General features: G+C 38.6%; 1 pseudogene across 1 annotated transcript; it reads left to right on the top strand.

The window, feature by feature from the left end:
* Positions 1–2,582: 2,582 nt before the first annotated feature.
* On the top strand, positions 2,583–10,808 carry LOC646214 (p21 (RAC1) activated kinase 2 pseudogene; annotated as a pseudogene). Its single transcript, NR_027053.2, has one exon. The product of NR_027053.2 is annotated as a p21 (RAC1) activated kinase 2 pseudogene (transcript).
* The last annotated feature ends 12,338 nt before the right edge of the window (positions 10,809–23,146 follow it).

Genomic DNA, 23,146 nt, shown 5'->3' with positions numbered 1-23,146 from the left:
GGTTGCAGTGAGCCGAGATCGCACCACTGCACTCCAGCCTGGCGACAGAGTGAGACTCTGTCTCAAAATAAAAATAAAAATAAAAAATTGATAAAATTAAAAATTTCTGTTCTTTGAAATTTACTGCTAAGAGAAGTAAACAAGTCACAGATTTGGAGAAAATATTTGCAAATCAGATATGACAAAAAAACCTTGTATCCAGAATGTATGAAGAATTTTAAAAACTCAATAATAAGAAAATAAATAACCCAAATTTTATTTTTTTCAGATGGAGTCTTGCTCTGCTGCCTAGGCTGGTGTGGAATGGCACAATCTCAGCTCACTGTGACCTCAGCTTCCCAGATTCAAGCGATTCTCCCCCCTCAGCCTCCCAATCCCCCACTCCCACCCCTGCGAGTAGCTGGGATTACAGGCACCCGCCATCATGCCTGGCTAATTTTTGTATTTTTGTAGAGACGAGGTTTCACCATGTTGGCCAGGCTGGTCTTGAACTGACCTCAGGTGATCCACCCACCTTGGCCTCCCAAGTGGTGAAATAACAGGTGTGAGCCACCGCTCCCCAACTCAACCCAAATTTTTAAAATGGGCGGAGTATTTGAACAGGTTCCTCAACAAAGAAGATACATGTGGCAAATAAGCGCACAAATGAATGCTCCACACCACTAGTAATTAAGGGAATTCAATTACTACTTACTGGAGGCTAAGAGACCAGTTAGGGGGTTACGGGAGAAATTGTGAATTAAAATTATGTATGATAGTAGCGGTGGGGATGGAGAGGAGAGGATATGAGGAATATTGAGGAGATAAAATTGCAAAAGCTTCACACTTGGTTGGAAGTGGAAGCTGACATGTAAGAGAATCAGCAATGATTCTCAGGTTTCCAACTTGAGCAAAGGGGCGGAGGCCACTGATAGACTCTGAGGTCATAAAACACAAGGTGGAGCAGATCTAGGCGGGTATGGAGGAAGAGATGTGACCATTGAAGTATTTTCTTTGTTGTTGTGTTGTTGGAATATTTCAAGTCAAATCCCTGACATCATGTTGTTCCATCTCTACACATTTGAACATGTATCACTAAAAGTAGGGACACTTTCTCCCATAATCACATTGCTGTGATCGCTCCTGAAGATGTACTCAATGATTCTGATTATCATCCCATACATAGTCCACAGTCATACATACTTGATTATCACAAGTATTTCTCTTTTTGCAGTCTGTCTATTGGAATCAGAATCCTGACAAGGTCCACCCTGCACACCACTTTCTCACAAAGGTCCTCTCATCCTGAGCAGTCCTCCCTGCCACTGATTTGTTGTCCTTCATAATGTCCCACAATCTGCACCTGTCTTTGTTCTCCCTCATGATACTGCTTCACTTCTATGCCCTGAATTTCCTATAATGGGGAAGGAGCTCTAAAGCCTGGTTGTAGGAACACTTCATGAACAGTACTGTGCATGGCACACAATCTCTAGCCATCCCACTTGTCACGCTAAAATCGATGACTCGCTTCTGGTAGTGTCAGCCTGACTCTTTGGACATGCTGAGTAAGCAGAGCGAGAAAGGAAGAGGGCTTCGACCAGAGGAAGAGGAGCAGAGAAAACAGGGAAGGAGAATTCAGGGAAGTGGGGAAAATCGAGGGAGCAGCAGCGTGGGGACTGAAGAAAGAAGGGTCAGGTGTCGCTGGGCAGCCAAGAAGAGACAAACAGGTCAGATGGTTTTCACAACTGATGGCTGATAACTTGTATGAGAGCAGCTTTAATGGAGTGATTAAGGTGTAAGTCAGATTGCCCTGTGATGGAGGTGTGAATAGGGGTGGGAAGTGGAGGGCAAGGAATATCAATAACAATTTCAGGAATTTGGCTGTAAGACAAGGGAAAAAGATGGGAGACGTGAGCATAGGAAGAGGGATGTTGAAAAAAGAGGTTGTGTTTATTCTGTGGCTCTTTTGATGGGAGACACATTCATGCTGGGAGGTTGAATATTTAGGAACCATAAGGAACTATTACTAACAAAGAAAGTTCCAAAAACATTCCTGGTTGGAAGGTTTCACTGTTTTGTTCACTAATTTCATATATTTTTCTAACTCTCTACAATTGCTTTTTGTTGTGAGCTCAACTGGTCTAGGAGACACAGATTTTGAAACGTGATGAAATTATTCAATAAAGCTGGTGTTAGATGCAGGTGTTAGAATGCATTTTTGTCAGACTTGGACCATATGAATTGAAGTTACTCTATCATCTGACTGATGGGCATCACTTGTTTTTGTCTATTTATTTGAACTGTATATATTCCAAAAATTTTTTGATGTAGCTGCTATATGATAAGAATATTGTAATGGGATTCTCCTGGGTTTCTAATCCAAAGTTTGTTTTTTTTAGAAAAATAAATTTGGACTTAGCAGATAAAAATCATGAATACTATATAACGCCATTTGTTAGACATTTTTGAAATGATAAAATTTTAGAAATGGAGGTTACTGATTGCCAGGGGTTAGGAAAGCGGAAGGAGGTGGGAGGGAGGGGGAGTGATTATAAAAGGGCTCTTGAGGGACCCACTGTGGTGCTGGAGCCATTCAGTATATTGACTAGTGGTGGATACATGAATTCACACAGGTGGTAGAATTATACAGACATTAATACACACACAGTGAAAGTAAAACTAGGAAAATCTGCCTAAGGTAAGTAGATGGAGTTACTGTCAATGTCCTTGTTTTGCAAAACATCACCATTGTGAGATCCTACTGAGAATCTGAAACACAGCCTTGGTTATATGCTTTTTTCTTTTTTTACCCTGTAAAAATGTTCCTTTTACCCTGTAAAGTGTTCCTTTTTATACTGGTAAGTATAAAAGGAACAAATTATACTGGTAAGTAAAAATTACTGATAAAGTAACTTTAAACTGAATATGGGAAATAACTGCTGTGCTGTATGGTATAAATAAATAATATATTTATCTATAACAATACTACTTTATATAATGGAACTAGATGTCACAAATGGCTCTAGTACTAGTAATGCAATTAATCAATATAATGTTTTGTAGGGTTTTGTTTTTTATACTCTTTGTTAAGCCTCCAAACTAGCAAGTACCCATTACAGTAAATGTACAATGGATTATTTCTGTTTCCGCGTTTCAGTCATTAACTCATTAGTTGCATAATCTTAAGGTCAAATTACCTTGTTGAAGGGGACAGTCTGGATCCATTCCGTGGAGCTCACATCAAAAACGTCTGCTGCATTTTCACTGTGCACTGAGAGGCACGGGGCATTGTAACCTGGGAGGAGCAAAGACGGTAACAGCAAACATGGGCTCCGTGATACCTTTTTCAGTGAATTTTTGATGAGATAATTATAGATTCACATGTAGTTGTAAAAATAATACAGAGAGATCCCTTGTACACTCTGCCCAGATTCAATTCACAACAAAATAAAACTTCAGTGTCTGGATTACAAATAATTTAAAACATAGCTAAAAATGTAAAAGTAAAAACCTGCCGTTTTGCTAAGACCAGACCATCAAATATTTAAGAGCATTTAACTTCCAGGACTTGTGGAGTATGCATGACATGAGCCACCAAGAAGAAGTTTTTAAAGGAAGAGTTAAAATAAGTGAAATTTTTTTCTACCTTCATCAGTATAAGCAGTGGAAAACACTTTTGAAAGGGCTGTCCCACCACATAAAACGTTACATTTGTGCTTTTCCAGCATTCTTTTTTTTGTTTGGTTGTATGTTTTTATTTTTTATTATACTTTAAGTTTTAGGGTACATGTGCACAACGTGCAGGTTTGTTACATGTGTATACATGTGCCATGTTGGTGTGCTCCACCCATTAACTCATCATTTAACATTAGGCATATCTCCTAATGCTATCCCTCCCCCCTCCCCCCACCCCACAACAGGCCCCAGTGTGTGATGTTCCCCTTCCTGTGTCCATGTGTTCTCATTGTTCAGTTCCCACCTATGAGTGAGAACATGCGGTGTTTGGTTTTTTGTCCTTTCGATAGTTTGCTGAGAATGATGGTTTCCAGCTTCATCCATGTCCCTGCAAGGGACATGAACTCATCATTTTCTATGGCTGCATAGTATTCCATGGTGTATATGTGCCACATTTTCTTAATCCAGTTTATCATTGTTGGACATTTGGGTTAGTTCCAAGTCTTTGCTACTGTGAATAGTGCCGCAATAAACATACGTGTGCATGTGTCTTTATAGCAGCATGATTTATAATCCTTTGGGTACATACCCAGCAATGGGATGGCTGAGTCAAATGGTATTTCTAGTTCTAGATCCCTGAGGAATCGCCACACTGACTTCCACAATGGTTGAACTAGTTTACAGTCCCACCAACAGTGTAAAAGTGTTCCTATTTCTCCACATCCTCTCTAGCACTTGTTGTTTCCTGACTTTTTAATGATCACCATTCTAACTGGTGTGAGATGGTATCTCATTGCGGTTTTGATTTGCATTTCTCTGATGGCCAGTGATGATGAGCATTTTTTCATGTGTCTTTTGGCTGCATAAATGTCTTCTTTTGAGAAGTGTCTGTTCATGTCCTTCACCCACTTTTTGATGGGGTTGTTTTTTTCTTGTAAATTTGTTTGAGTTCATTATAGATTCTGGGTATTAGCCCTTTGTCAGATGAGTAGATTGCAAAAATTTTTCTCATTCTGTATGTTGCCTGTTCACTCTGATGGTAGTTTCTTTTGCTGTGCAGAAGCTCTTTAGTTTAATTAGATCCCATTTGTCAATTTTGGCTTTTGTTGCCATTGCTTTTGGTGTTTTAGACATGCAGCCCTTGCCCATGCCTATGTCCTGAATGGTATTGCCTAGGTTTTCTTCTAGGGTTTTTATGGTTTTAGGTCTAACATGTAAGTCTTTAATCCATCTTGAATTAATTTTTGTATAAGGTGTAAGGAAGGGGTCCAGTTTCAGCTTTCTACATATGGCTAGCCAGTTTTCCCAGCACCATTTATTAAATCGGGAATCCTTTCCTCATTTCTTGTTTTTGTCAGGTTTGTCAAAGATCAGATGGTTATAGATGTGTGGTATTATTTCTGAGGGCTCTGTTCTGTTCCATTGGTCTATATCTCTGTTTTGGTACCAGGCGCCTCCGCAACCTCCCAGGAGCTCTGACCAAGGTGCCTCACTGGGGTGGGGAACTTGCCTCACCTGGGGCCATTTCATAATTCTGAATCATGTGTGATAACAGAGAACTGGAAGACAAGCCTCCAGCACCTCCCGTGCGAATGAGCAGGACCATCTTTAGCACTGGGGGCAAAGACCCTTTGTCAGCCAATCACAGTTTGAAACCTTTGCCTTCTGTTCCAGAGGAGAAAAAGCCCAGGCATAAAATCATCTCCATATTCTCAGGCACAGAGAAAGGAAGTAAAAAGAAAGAAAAGGAACGGCCAGAAATTTCTCCTCCATCTGATTTTGAACACACCATCCATGTTGGCTTTGATGCTGTTACTGGAGAATTCACTGGCATGCCAGAACACTGGGCTCGATTACTACAGACCTCAAATATCACCAAACTAGAGCAAAAGAAGAATCCTCAGGCTGTGCTGGATGTCTACGACTCCAACACAGTGAAGCAGAAGTATCTGAGTTTTACTCCTCCTGAGAAAGATGGCTTCCCTTCTGGAACACCAGCACTGAATGCCGAGGGAACAGAAGCACCTGCAGTAGTGACAGAGGAGGAGGACGATGATGAAGAGACTGCCCCTCCCATTATTGCCCCACCACCGGATCATATGAAATCAATTTACACACGGTCTGTAATTGACCCTGTTCCTGCACCAGTTGGTGATTCAAATGTTGATGGTGGTGCCAAGTCTTTAGACAAACAGAAAAAGAAGACTAAGATGACAGATGAAGAGATTATGGAGAAACTAAGAACTATTGTGAGCATAGGTGACCCTAAGAAAAAAATATACAAGATATGAAAAAATTGGACAAGGGGCTTCTGGTACAGTTTTCACTGCTACTGACGTTGCACTGGGACAGAAGGTTGCTATCAAACAAATTAATTTACAGAAACAGCCAAAGAAGGAATTGATCATTAATGAGATTCTGGTAATGAAAGAATTAAAAAATCCCAACATAGTTAACTTCTTGGACAGTTACCTGGTAGGAGATGAATTGTTTGTGGTCGTGGAATACCTTGCTAGGGGGTCACTCACTGATGTGGTAACAGAAACCTGCATGGATGAAGCACAGATTGCCGCTGTATGCAGAGAGAGTTTACAGGCATTGGAGTTTTTACATGCTAATCAAGTGATCCACAGAGACATCAAAAGTGACAGTGTACTTTTGGGAATGGAAGGATCGGTTAAGCTCACTGACTTTGGTTTCTGTGCCCAGATCACCCCTGAGCAGAGCAAACGCAGTACCGTGGTCAGAACGCCATACTGGATGGCACCAGAAGTGGTTACACGGAAGGCTTATGGCCCTAAAGTCAATGTATGGTCTCTGGGTATCATGGCTACTGAGATGGTAGAAGGAGAGCCTCCATACCTCAATGAAAATCCCTTGAGGGCCTTGTGCCTAATAGCAACTAATGGAATCCCAGAACTTCAGAATCCAGAGACACTTTCCCCAATATTTCGGGATTTCTTAAATCGATGTTTGGAAACAGATGTGGAAAAAAGGGGTTCAGCCAAAGAATTATTACAGCATCTTTTCCTGAAACTAGCCAAACTGTTATCTAGCTTGACACCACTGATCATGGCAGCTAAAGAAGCAATGAAGAGTAACCGTTAACATCACTGCTGTGGCCTCATATTCTTTTTTCCATTTTCTACAAGAAGCCTTTTAGTATATGAAAATTATTACTCTTTTGGGGGTTTAAAGAAATGGTCTGCATAACCTGAATGAAAGAAGCAAATGACTATTCTCTGAAGACAACCAAGAGAAAATTGCAAAAAGAAAAGTATGACTTTTATATGAACCCCTTCTTTAGGGTCCAAAAGGAATTGTGGACTGAATCACTAGCCTTAGGTCTTTCAGCAAACCGCCTATCAGGGCCATTTATCATATGTGAGATTTGCATTTTACTTTGCTGACTTTGTTGTAATAGATCCCATTCATTGTCCCCTTTGGGGTATTTCCAATACTTGAATGGCAGATTGGAGTTTTTCAGAGTATTTGTTTCATCTGCTAGTCTTTCTCTCCTTCATAGCTTTCCTTTTCCTGGACTTGCTCCTTTTGAGTTGCTTTTGAGTTTCTCATGCCTAGGTAAGTGTAATAGAAATTATGTAGCTCCTTATGTTGGCAAAGGAGCTCTATATAGTTTCACTTTTTATAAAAGTTAGGACCAGCTGTTGTTACATGTAATATTTTAGTTCAGAACTTGACCTGAAGGAAGGGAAGAAAAGTATTTGATTTTTACCTTTTTTAACAAATGTGAAAAAGTCAGTTTTAGAAATTTTGTGGTAGTAAGTTTGGCATTTGTTACATGTATAGAGAGAAGACTAATAATCTCTATTTATAACTAAATCATTGAGATAGAAAAAGATTCCCATTGACCGTGTATTTCTTCCCATTTCGTCTTCCCTTCTGCCTGTTTCCCCTTCAGGCTTGGCTCTAGGAACCAAAGTGATTTGTTCTTGTTCCAACCTGGGCTTTGTGACTTTGGTTAGTGCCACTACCTTCTTCCCTCCTTTCCCCCTTCAATTTGGAAATAAATTTCTGTATATGTTGCAATTTTAGGTTTATTTTTGTTCTTTTTGTTTTTCATTAATCCTCTCTCACCTCACAGATACCCCCCTCCCATGGCAAATAATATAATAACCAGTGAATTTTCGGGAATTTAAAATTAGCTTTTTTCCACTTAAAGGAGAACAATATTTGGGACTAGCAGGCGCAGAGTGAGAGACGTGAACCTTGGTGATCTCTGATATAGTGAGAAGAGATTATACTCATGAAAGAGAATGTTAGTGTTACAGAGAAGCAGCCGATAGGAAATCAACTGTAGAGACTTGGAGGCGGCGGCATTGCTCCAGGTCATCATCAGTGTGGTATTATCTATGAGAACTTGAGCGACAGAGTATTTCTTGATGAATTTATAGATCATTTGAGATGTTGAGTTACTTTTGTTTTGTTTTCAAATAGGTAGAGACTATTAATGTAAAAAAACAAGAAAGGAAAATGAAATGTGCGTGTTGAGAGCAATAATTTGTTTCTTTTAAAGATTCTGAAAGATCTGAGACCTGTAGCATTAATTATTTGAGTGCCCTCCCTTCTCCCCTCCCCTCCCTTTCTCTTCTCTTCTTTCATCTCCTCTCCTTCTCCTTTATTCATTGTTTTGCTTTGGAATAGGTTGTTCAAGTATTTGGTTTGGTTCTGGCATTTTGTTCCCACCATCCCCTTCCCCCATTAACTTCCCCCCTGCTTGCCATCCTGCAGTAGTATAAATCATGAATAAAAAATAATTTTGCTGTTGTAGTATACATTGGGGAAACTAGCAGGGTTTTATTTCCATTATTTTATTCCCACTATATCTATGATAAGATACAATTATAAGGAGAGAAGTGACTGTTTTTTATTGATAAGGCAAGATTTTCAGAAAAATGAGTAAAATAATTAATGAAACATATTTAGAGCACTTAGTGGTCTCTGTTTTCAATATAATTCTTGATTTCATTTTTCTCTGGAATATATTGGCCTTCTACAGCTATTACTGAATTACAGAAACTGGTTTATTTCTGTCAGAAAGCTGCAGTGCCACCTGAGTTCCAAATTTTAACATTCTTTGTAAACGGATGGATTATGATAAAGAAGATGCTACCAATGAAATAGAAAACCAACGAGATGAGAAGACTGTGATCCTCATGCACTCAGAGGCACTTCCCTTCTAAGTCAAAGACCATTCTCACTGACTATGTGCCAAGGCCTCACTTCAGGCTTGTGACTCAACAAAGGGCTTTTCCATTGATAGAAGCAGTTTGGGATTTGTAGCTACAACTTCTTCGATAGTTACCTGCATGTCCATTGCTGGCAGCTGACTTCAGTCATTAAAACCTGGCTCTTTGGTTAAGGGAGCTACACTGTGGTTTATTCTTAAGTTACATGGATAAACTAACCTCTAGCAGAAATATAGTTTGGTTAATTTTGAGATGTGTCATTTTTAAACAAAATCTTAAAAGCAATACAGAATTGTGATTTATTAATTTTAAATTAAAACATTGAGAACTTGTTGAAAGAAAAATTATATCTGAATCAAGATTCATGTTTTTTATTTTTTTTTATTTATTTATTTTTTTTGATACAGAGTCTCACTCTGTCACTTAGGCTGGAGCGCAGTGGCATGATCTCAGCTCACTGCAACCTCCGCTTCCTGGGTTCAAGCAATTCTCATGCCTCAGCCTCCTGAGTAGCTGAGACCACAGGTGCGTGCCACCACACCCAGCTAATTTTTTGTATTTTTAGTAGAGACAGAGTCTCACCATGTTGCCCAGGCTTGTCTCCAACTCCTGAGCTCAGGCAATCTGCCCACCTTGGCCTCCCAAAGTGCTACAATTACAGGCACGAGCCACTACACCTGGCCTCATGTTTTTTAAATAATTGCCTTTTATATTTACCCTTTTTGTCATCACTTTAGAATGAAAATTCCCATTTAAATCTAAAAGTTACTTTAATAGTCCTCTTGTGTTATTAGGACAGTGTTACTATAGTACTTATTTATTATATTTTAGACTTTTTCTTTTTTCTTCTGCTGCTTTTAGGGACAGTTAAAACTGGGAAACTATGAAACATGGAACATTTTATCCTACCTAGAATAGTAAATGAGTAATTGTGAAGCGTAAGACACCGAGGCTAATACAACTCTGTCTTCATGTGTCGAGTGCCTGGCACATAGTACTAATTCTCTTCCCTTTAACATATAAATGTTAAGCTGCTTAGAGTCTAGTAACCACCAACTGTAAACGAGCCTGTGCCTTTAACAAGAAATTTTAAACTACCTATGAGTATTTCTTTATAGGGCTCACTTAAATACGTTTGTATATACTGTATTCTAGCCAGAATAATTTTAGATCTGATCAGGTAGTAGCTAAAATTAGAAAAAAACAAAATAGATGCTTAAAGAATTTGCATCCATTTTTGAGTCTAAATCTTTTTAAATATACTGAGATCCACATCTAGTGAAATGTCAGTGTCAAAATATTATAGATTATAGCTAAAATCCAGATTAATACTCATTTGGGGTTTTTTATAGTGGAACTTCATAGTAATACAAGAAGCAGATTGTCTTCCTGTCTCTGCTGCTCCCACAGTAGGTATTGAAACTGGTGAAATCAGTTTTTTGATAGTGTGTGTATATAAGAAAAAATATATACACACATTCTTTTTTCTCAGTCAACACACTGATTGAACACTCTGGCAAAGATGCTGTGGTAGACGAGGTTGGAGTTAGAAAGAAGAAGCAAGCACTGGCCTGGCCTTGAAAGAACGGAAGTCTTTCCCATTCACTTCTCTAGAATGCTGCCAAGACAGAGGCAGAAAGAAATGGATGATAATTCTGTCAAGCACACTTCTATTCTTTATTAAGAGAAACAATTATGTTTGGAATTCAGCATCTTTGGTTGGAACGCATTGGCTTTTTTTTCTTGTTGTGATAGAAATGGAATTAAGTAAAATTATAGTTTGTCTTTTCTGTTGTCTTCAAATTTTATAATGTCTTTTATTTTTAATTTAATCCCATTCAATTATTTAATTGTTATACATTGACATTAACTGCTGTATTTTATGACTTTGTTCAATAATTTTGTTCTTTCAGGGCTAGAAATAAACTTTTTTAAGAAATGTGCATTTTTCCCTTTCCTAAACTTTTATTCTTTCTTTTGATCAGAATAGCATAAAAGAATAGTTAAATGTCTTAATAGGTTTTCAAAGAACATTCTAGTATCTTTAGTGATAAATGTTTTAAACCTTTAAAAAAAATAGAATAGTATAGCACTGGCACATGAATAAGCAAATCTAGAGAATAGAGCACGGAATCTAGAATTACATCCAAGTACACATAAGAGCCTTATATATGACAAAATGAGCTTTTAATTCAGTACATCTCCATTAAAAACCCCATGTAAAAATACAAATTTAGACTATTTATATATTTTTTAAAGTTCAGGTGAATTAAATATTTTTGTTTTGTTTTGTTTTTTGAGACAGAGTCTCACTCTGTTGCCCAGGCTGGAGTGCAGTGGCACGATCTCGGCTCACTGCAACCTCCATCTCTGGGGTTCACGCCATTCTCCTGCCTCAGCCTCTCGAGAAGCTAGGACTACAGGCGCCCGCCACCACGCCTGGCTAATTTTTTGTATTTTTAGTAGAGATGGGTTTTCACCGTGTTAGCCAGGACGGTGTCGATCTCCTGACCTCGTGATTCGCCCGCCTCGGCCTCCCAAAGTGTTGGGATTACAGGCGTGAGCTACTGCGCCCGGCCAATATTTTTAAATAAACCTATAAAAATTCCAGAAGGAAGCCCTTGGTGAAGATCTTCTCACTTAAGAACGACAGAAAACAAACCACCTATTTTATAAAAAACAAGTATATCTCGCTATGTAAACCATAGCAGAAAGACAAACTAAAGACTGGAAAAAATATTTACAGTATATATAATATCTAAAAGTTGATCATATTAAAATGGACATATGCAAAGGCTACGAATTGCCAATTCATAGTAGACGGTATGCAGACCCATCATTTGAAGAGATGCAAGTAGAATTCTTTTTTCTTGTTCCAACAAAATCTAGATAATTCAAATTAAACTAAAATGGCATCATTTTTAGCCTTCAGGTGAGCAGCAATAGAAAACAAAATATTAACTCAGTGCTGGCAATTGGCACTGTTACCATTCTAAATCACCACAAATATTTTAGAAATAAATTAGCAATTATCTATTAAAATGAAAACTGCATATACCTTTGACCCAAAAATCCTATTTTCAAAAATGTATCTGACAGAAAAAAAACAAAAGCATCAGCATATAGTGATACTTCTACAATGGTGTTTACTGAAATATTATTTATAGTGACAAAAATAAAAACTGAAGACTTTCAGATGTCTATTAGCAGGGAAACACATCTGAATAATGTATATTTTATTTTACTTTTTTCAGGCAAGAAAGCTTACATACATTTATTTTTGTTTATATATGTTTGTGTGTACCAAAAAGGATGATAGAAGGATGTTCTGTGCATATTAAATTGGTTACTCAGGAGGGTGAGGGGGTAAGGGGATACTACTAGTTTTTCCTATATTTATCCTGGTAATGTCTCACTTCTTAAAAGGAACATATACTGCAGAATCATGAAAATTCATGCCTAGAATAGACTTTAAAGATATCTTGTCCACTCATCTCTTTTGCAAACCAGTAAACTAAGCCCAATATTAAAATACCCAAGGTTATGCATCCATGGCTCAAAATTAAGAGTTTTTGACTCCCAGATCGGCATTCTTCCAATTCAAAATATAAAATCAAATTCTGAAAATAAGTAGCAGCTAACTCTATAGTAACCTCCTACTTGAGCCTAATAATTTATGTACTGAATGCTTCTCTTTCAGTCTGTGTGGTTTACATGCACGTATATACATATTCTTTCCCTAAGAGTTTTGTCTAGCATATGCTGTGTTTAAATTCAAATGAATTAATTTTTAAAATCAGTACCCCTTTAGGTAAATGAAGCTATCTCTGTTGTCAAAAGATCAAAGACAAGCTACATATTTAAACATTATATATTCAAATTATTTAACAACTGTTATGATACAGGCACCACACAGCTGTCAGACACTGGCGCAATCAAACCGGGCAACAGCCATTCTGGTGTAAACATCTGTGGGAAACAAAAATAGCCCAGGCCGGGCGCAGTGGCTCACGCCTGTCATCCCAGTACTTTGGAAGTCCAAGGCGGGCAGATCACCTGAGATTGGGAGTCTGAGACCAGCCTGACCAACATGGAGAAACCCCATCTCTACTAAAAATACAAAATTAGCCGGGCGTGGTGCCGCATGCCTGTAATCCCAGCTACTCGGGAGGCTGAGTCAGAAGAATTGCTTGATCCCGGGAGGCGGAGGTTGCGGAAAGCCGAGATCGTACCGTTGCCCTCCAGCCTGGGCAACGAGTGAAAATCTGTCTCAAAAAAAAAAAAAAAAGTCTGCCTTGCCCAAAGCTTAAATATGCTGTCATATCTTCAAAAAGATAAGAATATCTTACCTGAAAATTTCATCTATACTAAACTCAATTTCCTACTAATGAACAGTTTGTCAAATACATTTTTGTTTTTACTATGGGTCTCGTTGTTAATGAATATGACATTATAATAATCTGACATAATACTGACATCATAGTTTAACTGTATGAATAAATGGTGTTTTCACATATAGAGCAAGAATATATACATTCACTCCACAAGTATTTACTGAATGCCTTCTACTTCAGGTATTTCCCTAAATGCTGGGAGTGCTTCAAAACAGATTTGATTCTTGCTTTCATGGAGTTCACGATCTATGAGTGAGACAGACATTAATCAAGTAAAAAAGTGATAATACAATTATAAATTGTGAACAGAACAAGGTGCTGTAAAGTAGAATGACAGGGTGAGGGGTGTTCAGTCTATAAATTAGATGATCAGAAATGGCCTTTCTGGTGAACATGACATTTTCATTTGATCAGATTAAGAAGTCAACCTTGTGAAAGTAGGGAACAAGTTCTCCAGCCAGAGTGAGCTGTTTCTTACTAATGTGACTGGCTTGTTTTATCAAAATGAATCATAATGTTTAGTTGGTACTTCATCAGTACTCAATACATATTTACTTATTGAATCTAATGATTAGATTCTGCATGCTCTTCCATCTCTCTTATAAAAGGGCTTCGTGTTGGACTATGGTACAATTAGGCACTTTAAGAAACAACAAAATATTTTGAAGTAAGTTCTACGTATTTATTTGCCACTAACACACTGACTGTAAAAGATATGAAGCATATATACAGAAATTACCATAACCAAATATATATGCAATTAACCTTTTATATAGCTGTGTCTTTATGGTTTCCATCTTTTCTCCTCCCACCTCTGAAAATGTTTACAATTTGTAATCTCCCTCTCAGTACTGCCTGTAATGATATGGAATGATACCCATCCAGAGGAAGGGGTTGTAAGGGGTCACAGAGGTTTGCATTAGAAGGAGTAAAGTTTGAAAACCTTCCCCACACATTCAGTTATGCCCTCTTCTAGGGCATATCCTTCCGCTTTTCACTTAGGAACTATTCTGGTCTTTTTAGATGTCATACTTCCATAAATCTGCACAGTATATTCATTCATCTCCACTAGCGAAAAGTTCCACATTTTATATTAATTTTTTTTTTTTTGGAGACAGGGTCTTGTTTTGTCACCCAGTCTGGAGTGCAGTGGTACAATCACAGCTCACTGTAACCTCAAACTCCTGGGGCCAAAAATGATCCTCCCATCTCAGCCTCCCAAGGAGTTGGGACTACAGGTGCACACTACCATGCCCGGCTAATTTTCTAACTTTTTATAGAGACAGGGTCTTCCTATGTTGCCCAGGCTGGTCTCAAACTTCTCGCCTCGAGGGGTCCTCCCATCTTGGCCTCCCAAAGCACTGGGATTACAGGTGTGAGCCACCACACACAGCTTACGTTAATTTCTTCAAATAAAATATTTTTTCATAGGAAAAAAATTATCGTGGGGTTTTGTTGATATAGGAGTTAAGAAGAAATTAGTTAGGCAGATAGTGAGGGTACAGGAGTCCTTGGTAAGTTTTACCTTTTAATTAAAAGCAGCCCTCAAATCATTTATTTTCCTAACAAAGAGCAGACTGTAAAATGAAGTTGCAGACATAGGCAAGCGAAGTGGAAGCCTGCACAGGCAAATGCGTGAAGTTGTGCCAATAGGAAAATACTACCTGGAATTACATGTTCAAAACGAGAGCTCTATCTTCCCTTCTCTTTGCCAGCCACGTGTACAGTAAAGAGTAGATGAGATGGCGCTGAGCAAGTGGAAAGCCCATTTGCATAAGATTAGGGTGGGGCAACCAGCCTTCCCAGCGCCCTGTAAACTTCACACCTGATCAAACCAATCTGTGGCCCCCACGTAAATCAGACACCAACTCCTCAAGCCTGCCTCCCTGCTGCTGCCAGCTGTTCCCTTTTGGTCTCTCTCTGTCTCTGACTCTGTCTCTGTGTCTCTCTCCCCTCCCCCCTCACCTTTCTCTTCTGTCTCTCTCTCCTCTCACTTCTCTCTCTCTCTTTCTCCTCTCTCTTACAAGAGAGAGATTGCATTATCATCCAATGTCGTTCAAGAAATAGAACGTTTATTGTGTACGTTTTACAAGTTCAGCACTGTGCTAGCCTCTGTGGGGATTCCCAAAGCAGAAAGTAGACGGGTGCCATAGGATGCGCAGAAGGAAGCGCTGGTGTAGGTGTGGTCCACCGATGATGGGAAAGGAAACGGAGCTTGCCTTGGTGTCATTACCAACAGGTTTGTGATATGTATACATTTCTGGATGCAGTATGGTTAAACAGGGGCATTTAAAAGAGCCCCCACCGCAGAGGGTGAAAATGTAGACCAAAAAAAAATTTTTCATTAAAAAGCAAATTTTCACTAGTGGCTCTGTAACTATGAATTTAAATTTTAAATTTCCTGATAACTTTTCAACCATGAAGACTGAGAGCCTGGCCGAATTATTTGGTTCTCTGCCCAAAGATTGGTAATAGAGTCACATAGAATAATTTTTTCTCCTCTTTAAAGATGAATCAGAGGATGCTGGGTTTCACTGAACATTTCTGAAGATTTTCCACACCACAAAGCCCTCCAGGCACAGCTCAGCATTTTGTAGACCAGCATTAAATCTTAAAAGAAGTAAAATGCTGCCTTCTCGTGGCCCATGTACAAAACTGATGAAAACAGTATTGTTCCTTCCTGTTATTGAAAAGCAGCCAAGTCCAAAGCAGAGAGCAGCAGTATTTAGATTTTAAATGAGTTTGCAAATAAAAAGACAAGAGTACCTTAATATGACATGAGTAAACCTTTCAGGAAATAAAATTTTGAATCAGATCAGATCAAAGTGTTCCAAAATGGGGCTTAATACTGTAATTACCACCATGACTCTGCATATATGCAGATTTTCCCCCAAGGAGCTCAAACTTTGACTCAAAATCCAGTAATCTTGAATCCTGGTCTAATCCTTACCATCTAAAGAAAGCACACTTATTTAGAGTAATTGTTCAATAGAAAATTTATCAGGTCCTTCCTCATCCTGCCCCCAGCCAGATGTGTTCTCTTCCTGCTCTGAATTCCAATAAGACATAATGCTACATGTATATGGGTCTCTTTTTCTGTCCACAAGTAATAGTTTTAGAACCTTTGTGGCCTCTAAGATGGGCATGACACATGGTGCATGCTTAAGAAGTGTTTGAATAAATTAATGAATAAATAAATGGGAATTAAATGATGAATAAATGTATAGCTGTGATAAATATTCCCTATTTCCCTTATTTAAGCAAAAAAAAAAAAAAAAAAATACTATTTGTTGTGCAAATACCAATGCCTGCAAGGCTTGTTGCACTGGCTCAGAGGCCATGCGACATATCTTTGAAAACAGTCAGGAAGGCAAGAGTGGCTCCAAATCAAGCCTGGGTGCATTACTGTACTTTGTGGACATCAGGAATGGGCACTCTGGCTCTGCCTACTCCTGGATAGGCCCTACAATGATTATACAGGTTCTGACACATAAAAGCAGGGGAGAAGAATACCTGAGAAACAGATTAAGGCAGGGTTCCTCACCCCACTGCCCACAGGAAATTCTCTTCAGTGGGCCACAGAGCTAAATGTACAAGCCAAATGCTTCCTGAAAGGTGGGTGCAGATGTAGTAAACAATAGCCTATGTAAGCACCACTGAACCACATCAGTCTAGAAGTTTCTGTTTCTGATTCAGGCACTGATCCCAGGTCAGGTGCTCTGTGAGTGCTAGCTGGGAGTGGTGGTGATGGTGGTGGTTGAGATATGACAACACATAACAATATTAGATGCCTATTAGGTTCAGGCTGTAAATGACTCCTGCTTGCCCTTGGACAAGCAAGCTGGGAATGTGTGAATGTCAGCAGTGGGTATTTATACTTGGCGCCAGACTTCTCCAGACAAGTTCTTACTTGTTCCCCTCCACCAGTGGTTGCTTGAGCCTTTCTGCTGTTTAGCCTCATTCCTTTAAGCTGTGAACCCAGACTCCTATTTTGAGTCCTTTTATAGATAACTTGATTCAGTCACAATGCAACAGACTCCAGGACAGCTTTTTTTGTCTCTGTCTCTGGCTCCCAGCACCACAGCGTAAATTTAAAAAAAAAAAAAAAAAGACTCCCTGCTGTGCGCTTCTTGGGCACTGTGACAGCTGAAGGACAAGCCTGCCTTTCAGCCAGGATTCCATTTCCCTAGAGAATATTAGGTATTGGACGAGATAGGAGATGAGAGGTAAAAATGAACACTGGCGTGCGCGCGCACGCGCGCGCGCACACACACACACACACACACACACTTCTAATTGCCAAACTTCTCTAAAGGATGCTTGAGACCTGTCCCACTTTCTTTAGCATTTACTAATTCCTTGACTTCCTCTGACCACAATACCCAGGCCTCTCTCTTATGGAGTTCTAGTGGCCCCCTTGCTGAACATCATGGTCTTCTCTCAGTTCTTATTCTCTTTGACATCTTGCCAACATCTCACTTTTCTGACAACCTCAATTGCCTGTTCCTGGAACAGTCTTCTAATTTTCCTCCCAAGACTAATCACAAGTTAGTAAGAATCCAAGCAACTTTCATTTCTTTCATTCATTTATTTATTTTTTGAGGCAGAGTCTTGCTCTGTTGCTCAGGCTGCAGTGCAGTGGTGTGATCATGACTCACTGCAGCCTCAAATCCCTGAGCTCCAGCAATCCTCCCATCTCAGCCTCCCAAGTAGCTGGGACTATGGGTATGCACCACCATACCCAACTTTTTTTTTTTTTTTGTAAAGGCAGGGTCTTAATATGTTGCCTAGGCTGGTCTCAAACTCCTGGGCTCAATCAGTCCTCCCACCTCAGCCTCCCAAAGCACTGGGATTACAGGTGTGACCACTACACACAGCCCATTTCTTTTACAGTGTCCCAACATTTCAGTATGTTTTAAATATTTATTGCTTCTAAATTAAACGTTTAATACATATTCACAAAATATAGAGACATGATCTCATTTAGAGATCCAAATGTGAAGCCTGTGTGACTGTGAAGGCCCCCTGTGATGGGGCCGTTGTAATAGGTTTCTCTTACCTCTCTACCTGGCTTTCACATCTCCTTCAGTAACTCTCTTCCTCTTCTTGCTGCAAGACTGGGTCCTCAATCCCCATCTCTCTCCACTTACTTCCCCTTTGCCTACAAATCCTGCCTTCTAGCTCCAGTTGTCTTTTTTTTTTTTTTTTTTTTGAGATGGTGTTTCACTCTTTTGCCCAGGCTGAAGTGAAGTGGTGCGATCTCAGCTCACTGCAAACTCCACCCCCCGGGTTCAAGCAATTCTCCTGCCTCATTCCCCCGATTAGCTGGGATTACAGGCACCCACCACCAAGCCCAGCTAATTTTTTGTATTTTTAGTAGAGATGGGGTTTCATCATGTTGGCCAGGCTGGTCTCGAACTCCTGACCTCAGGTGATCCACCTGCCTTGGCCTCCCAAAGTGCTAGGATTACAAGCATGAGCCACCGCGCCCGGCCCAGTTGTAATTTTTATACTAATGACTACTCAATTGATGTACCAAACCAAACCTCTCATCCAAGCCTGGATTCCAATACTCCTAGTTGTCTACAGAACATCTAAATCTTACCATTTGCAAACTGAACACATCATCCTCCCTCTGGTTGGCAAACTAGCTTTTCTCTTTCTCCTATCTCAAATCTTATCTCAGCAGAAGCCAAGGGTTCCATATAGGGCTATCTGTAGAGAAGAGGGTGCTCATCCTATTTCAGCTTTCAGAATTGTGATGGGTTATGGTGGTCTGAGACAGAGAAATCAATTTGAAGGAATTTGACAGAATATTATAGCTAGTTATAATGGGTTGGATAGTAAGCTGTTAGACCTTCCCAGAAAAGAAGTTCTCGAAGTAAAAGGCAGAGTTCTGACCTTTTATATAGAAACCGGTGCAATGGTTATGGGTGGAGGGGCAGCTGTTAAGGATGTCCAGTTTAGACATCTCTTAGCAAACTGGAAAGCTATCTCCTTCATGCCTATACCCAAGACCCATTTGTTAATTACATGCATGTTGTCTTAGTCCATTCGTGCTCCTATAACAAAATACCACAGACTATTTTATAAAGAAAAAAAAATTACTTTCTCACAGTTTCAGTGGCTGGAAAATACAAGGTCAAGGCTCTAGGCATTTGATCTAGTGAGGGCCTTCTTGCTGCATCCTCACATGGCATAAGGTGGAAGGGCAACTAGCCAAGCATTGCGGGACGTCTCTTTTGTAAGGGCTTTTTAACTCCATTAGCCAGGAAGAGACTGTAAGGCCTAATCACCTCTTAAAGACCATCTTAATACCTATCTTAATCACTTCTTAATACCATCATATTGGCAATGATTGAACTTTGGAGGGGACACATTCAAATCATAACATATGTTGTAATAAGCTGCAAAATGTAAGTTTTAATAGAATAAACTTTTGTTTACCTCTATCATTCATTCACTCTATGAGATTTTTGCAGTAAAGTTTTATCCCAATATTATAACGATCTCTCAGGAAATCTCTTTATGTTCTGAGATCATCTGACAGCACCATGTACAATCTGTCCTTCTCATAGGAGCAGATGAAATCAACCAGTGGTATTGATGGTTATCTTTTCTTAAGCCGGTTATTGCAGGCATCTGTCTGTCTCTTTGTGGAAGACTCCATGCACACTACCACAGGAAGGAGATCTTGTGATGTAGGCAACTTCCTGGTTAAAGCTCTTGTCAGTTTAAACATGATTACTTACTTTCTGACGTTTGCACTAAGTAGAAAAATATGCTCCTTAGAGTCCTAATGAGTATCTACTTTAACCTACCCCAAATGAGGTAAGATCATTGGATATCAGAATTGGAACACAATTTATGTCCTGAAAAAAATAATGAGAAAGATCAAATAAGAGTTATGTAATCTTACTGCAAAAACCTAGCTGTAGGAAATAGATACCTTCTATCATCTGTCCCAAAAGATGGAGTTGTCTGAGCCACTAATCCAATTCTAGGGATCCAGATGATTCAGGTAATTCATGAATCCCATCTTCAGACAGAAGGCAAGAGCAGTGCATGAGATATCTCAGTAGCATGACATTCCATTTTATAGGAGCTAAGGGGAAACTGAAACTCTGTGTAGAGTCTCTGTCTCTTAGTTTACTGAAATTTATCTTTCATTGTAATAAAAAAGATCTGACCCAAAGGAAAAAAAACATTGTCAAAAATTTTGGTATTTCTCAAGGCACCTGAACAAATATACCATAGCCATCTAGGGTTATATTGTCACCACCAGTTGTGTAATTAAAACAAAAAAAAACTTTAAAATTAAGTATCAGCAAGATATAATTAAGAAGAAGAATGTCCTTTTATGTGTGACAAATCATAAATAAATGTATGTAAATACTTAAAGACTAAAGCTAAGTTATTTGTAAACTATTCATTTTTAAATGATTTGTACAAACATTCCTCTAGGATATGACATTTAAAAATAAAATGTGATTCTATTTATAAAGTCTGTATTAAGCGGAATACTGTATTAAATAAATATATCTAATATGAATGGAATTAGAACTAAATTTTAGTTTGCACAATAGATATCTGTCCAAAAAACTTAAGATTACAGAAAAGGCTACAATGGCTGACTTCCTTTGGCAAATGGTGGCATACTGCAAGAAAATTTTATCAGAAAATTTTTGTTTTGTCCTTATTTTAACCTGAGAAAGCTTATAATTCAATTCCCCTTACAAATATATCATAATAAAAATTAGGTGAATTTACCTTGTAAGAGGAAAATTGGAAAAGAGGAAATATCATATAATTTGTAACAACATTTGCAAGGAAAATTCTATAATATGTGTCAAATATATTTAGTAAAACCAGAGTTTATTGTTTACCATGTAGCTAGAAGTCCTAATATATTTCTTTGCTCTTTTTTCCTATTTTTAATATTAATATAATCTGTTCCTAAAAACTGCCCAAGTCTTCACCAGCCAACTTAAGGTGATTTTGTGACACCCCATTAAGTTATCATTTATTCTCATTGATCTCATCACCTGCAAACTTTTCAAAGATACTGATACTCTACCTGTCCTTCCTAAATTACTACAGTTCCCTTCATCCCAGTTTCTACTACTACAAGTCGTTTGAAACCTGCTTATGAAGATTGTCACTAATAACCTAATCCCCAAATCAAACCACCTTTCTCTCTCCCTTTATCTCAGTCAAGTTTAATCAAATTTAGCCCTATTAATGTTCCTCTTTTTCCTTGAAATTTATTCTTTAGGTGTTTTATTCTAGCTTATCCCCCGCATTTCTTTTTGACAGCTCATTTTCAATCTCTACCTCTTCTGCACACTAAGGGCTTTTCTTTGGTTCTGACTTTTCCTCTTATTCACAATTGACGGTTCACATGACCTCGTTCTGTATTTCCTCTCTCTCATTTTCCCAGGCTTAAACACTTGGAGAGATTTTCTCTTAACACTCCTATAAAAATGTGAGTTTATCTAATGGAGATTTAATAAAGCAAATGCTCTCTCCACAAAGAGATATCGCTGGACCACTAAAAATTCAACAATGTTCTCAACTAAATTTTCTCCATTTGTATTATTAAGGGAGACTAACTAAACCCACAGTTCTCCACAATGACAACTGCCCTTACAGATTTGCTTAAAAAAAGTAGTCCATATATTCGCTAAAATCTAGAGGGTATTTAATAATATGAGTGCAACTCTTTTCTCCTTTAGGGTATGGACAGGAACGTTCATTCGAAGTCAAGGCAGATGCCTAAAATATTGCAGTAAGACAATCTTCTCATTGTCTGTAGCAGATACAGACACTGGTTACTTCTCCCCCAAATTCACTCATACGATACTGAACTAACTAATGCTATGTTAAAGCAGAAATATGCAAGAATGTACCCTTAATAAATAAGGTCCCTGCTTAGTTGTGGTGGTAAAATGTGAAGGGAAACTCAGGCAGTAAACAAGATCAGAGAAAAAAAGGAGGCAAGACAATCATAGTTGACAATAGATCTGTTCTTAGTTTCAGTTTTGTCACCAATATCTCAGAAACCCAGAAGCAAAGGATGTATGGCTAATTCTACCTGAGAACTTCAGTGTGACTCCATTTTGATGCAATCAAAACTTGAACTCATCTTCCAAGATTGAAAGCAATGGCCCCCCTACATACTACATACCACTGTCATTGTCATTGTCATTTCTCCTTAAAATCATTTCTTCCCCCATTGTATGTTCTATTTGTGAATATCTTCCTTGGTCCATGAATCTGCCTTCACTCTCCGTATTCTTCTTCAGACCTAGACAGTATGCTCTTAAGAACTGAGTAACTTCATTCAGGATATGGCCACTACTATGAAGATGACTTTTGGACAAAGGACTGGTTTTAGGAATCCTGAAAGTTTCTTGGAGACTTTACCAGTCTTATTTCTGCAAGTCATGATTACCACACATTTTGTAGCTAAACAATTGCTGTTCCTACACTGTAAGATCATCATCTTGGTAAGTGACATTTTCATCAGTATGGGTTATTCTTTCATTCCATAATATCCTATGACCCAGACTAGGCCTTTGGGTTCTAGTTCACCCTTAGATATTTATGTTTTATGTTCTCCTATGATGGTTAATTTATCTTAAGCATATCTCAGTCCCCAAAAAAATGCTTAATTTTTTTTATATTTTTAAATGACTGTCACAGCAGCATTATTCAGAATAGTTAAAAAGTAGAAGCAACCCAGGTATCCATCAGCGAATTCAGATTAAAAAATTCTGCAGGCAACCAAACTTTTAGTCAAGTGAGAGGAAATCAGAAAATGCAAGTATCCATTTACCATTCATGGGGGAAATAATTCTTTGATACTTGAGAAAATACCACAGCTGA

The sequence above is a fragment of the Homo sapiens genome, chromosome 15 (genome assembly GCF_000001405.40).
Source record: "Homo sapiens chromosome 15, GRCh38.p14 Primary Assembly".
Classification (NCBI taxonomy): domain Eukaryota; kingdom Metazoa; phylum Chordata; class Mammalia; order Primates; family Hominidae; genus Homo; species Homo sapiens.
Note: the sequence above shows the minus strand (reverse complement) of the source record. Positions and strands in the feature narration are given on the sequence as shown.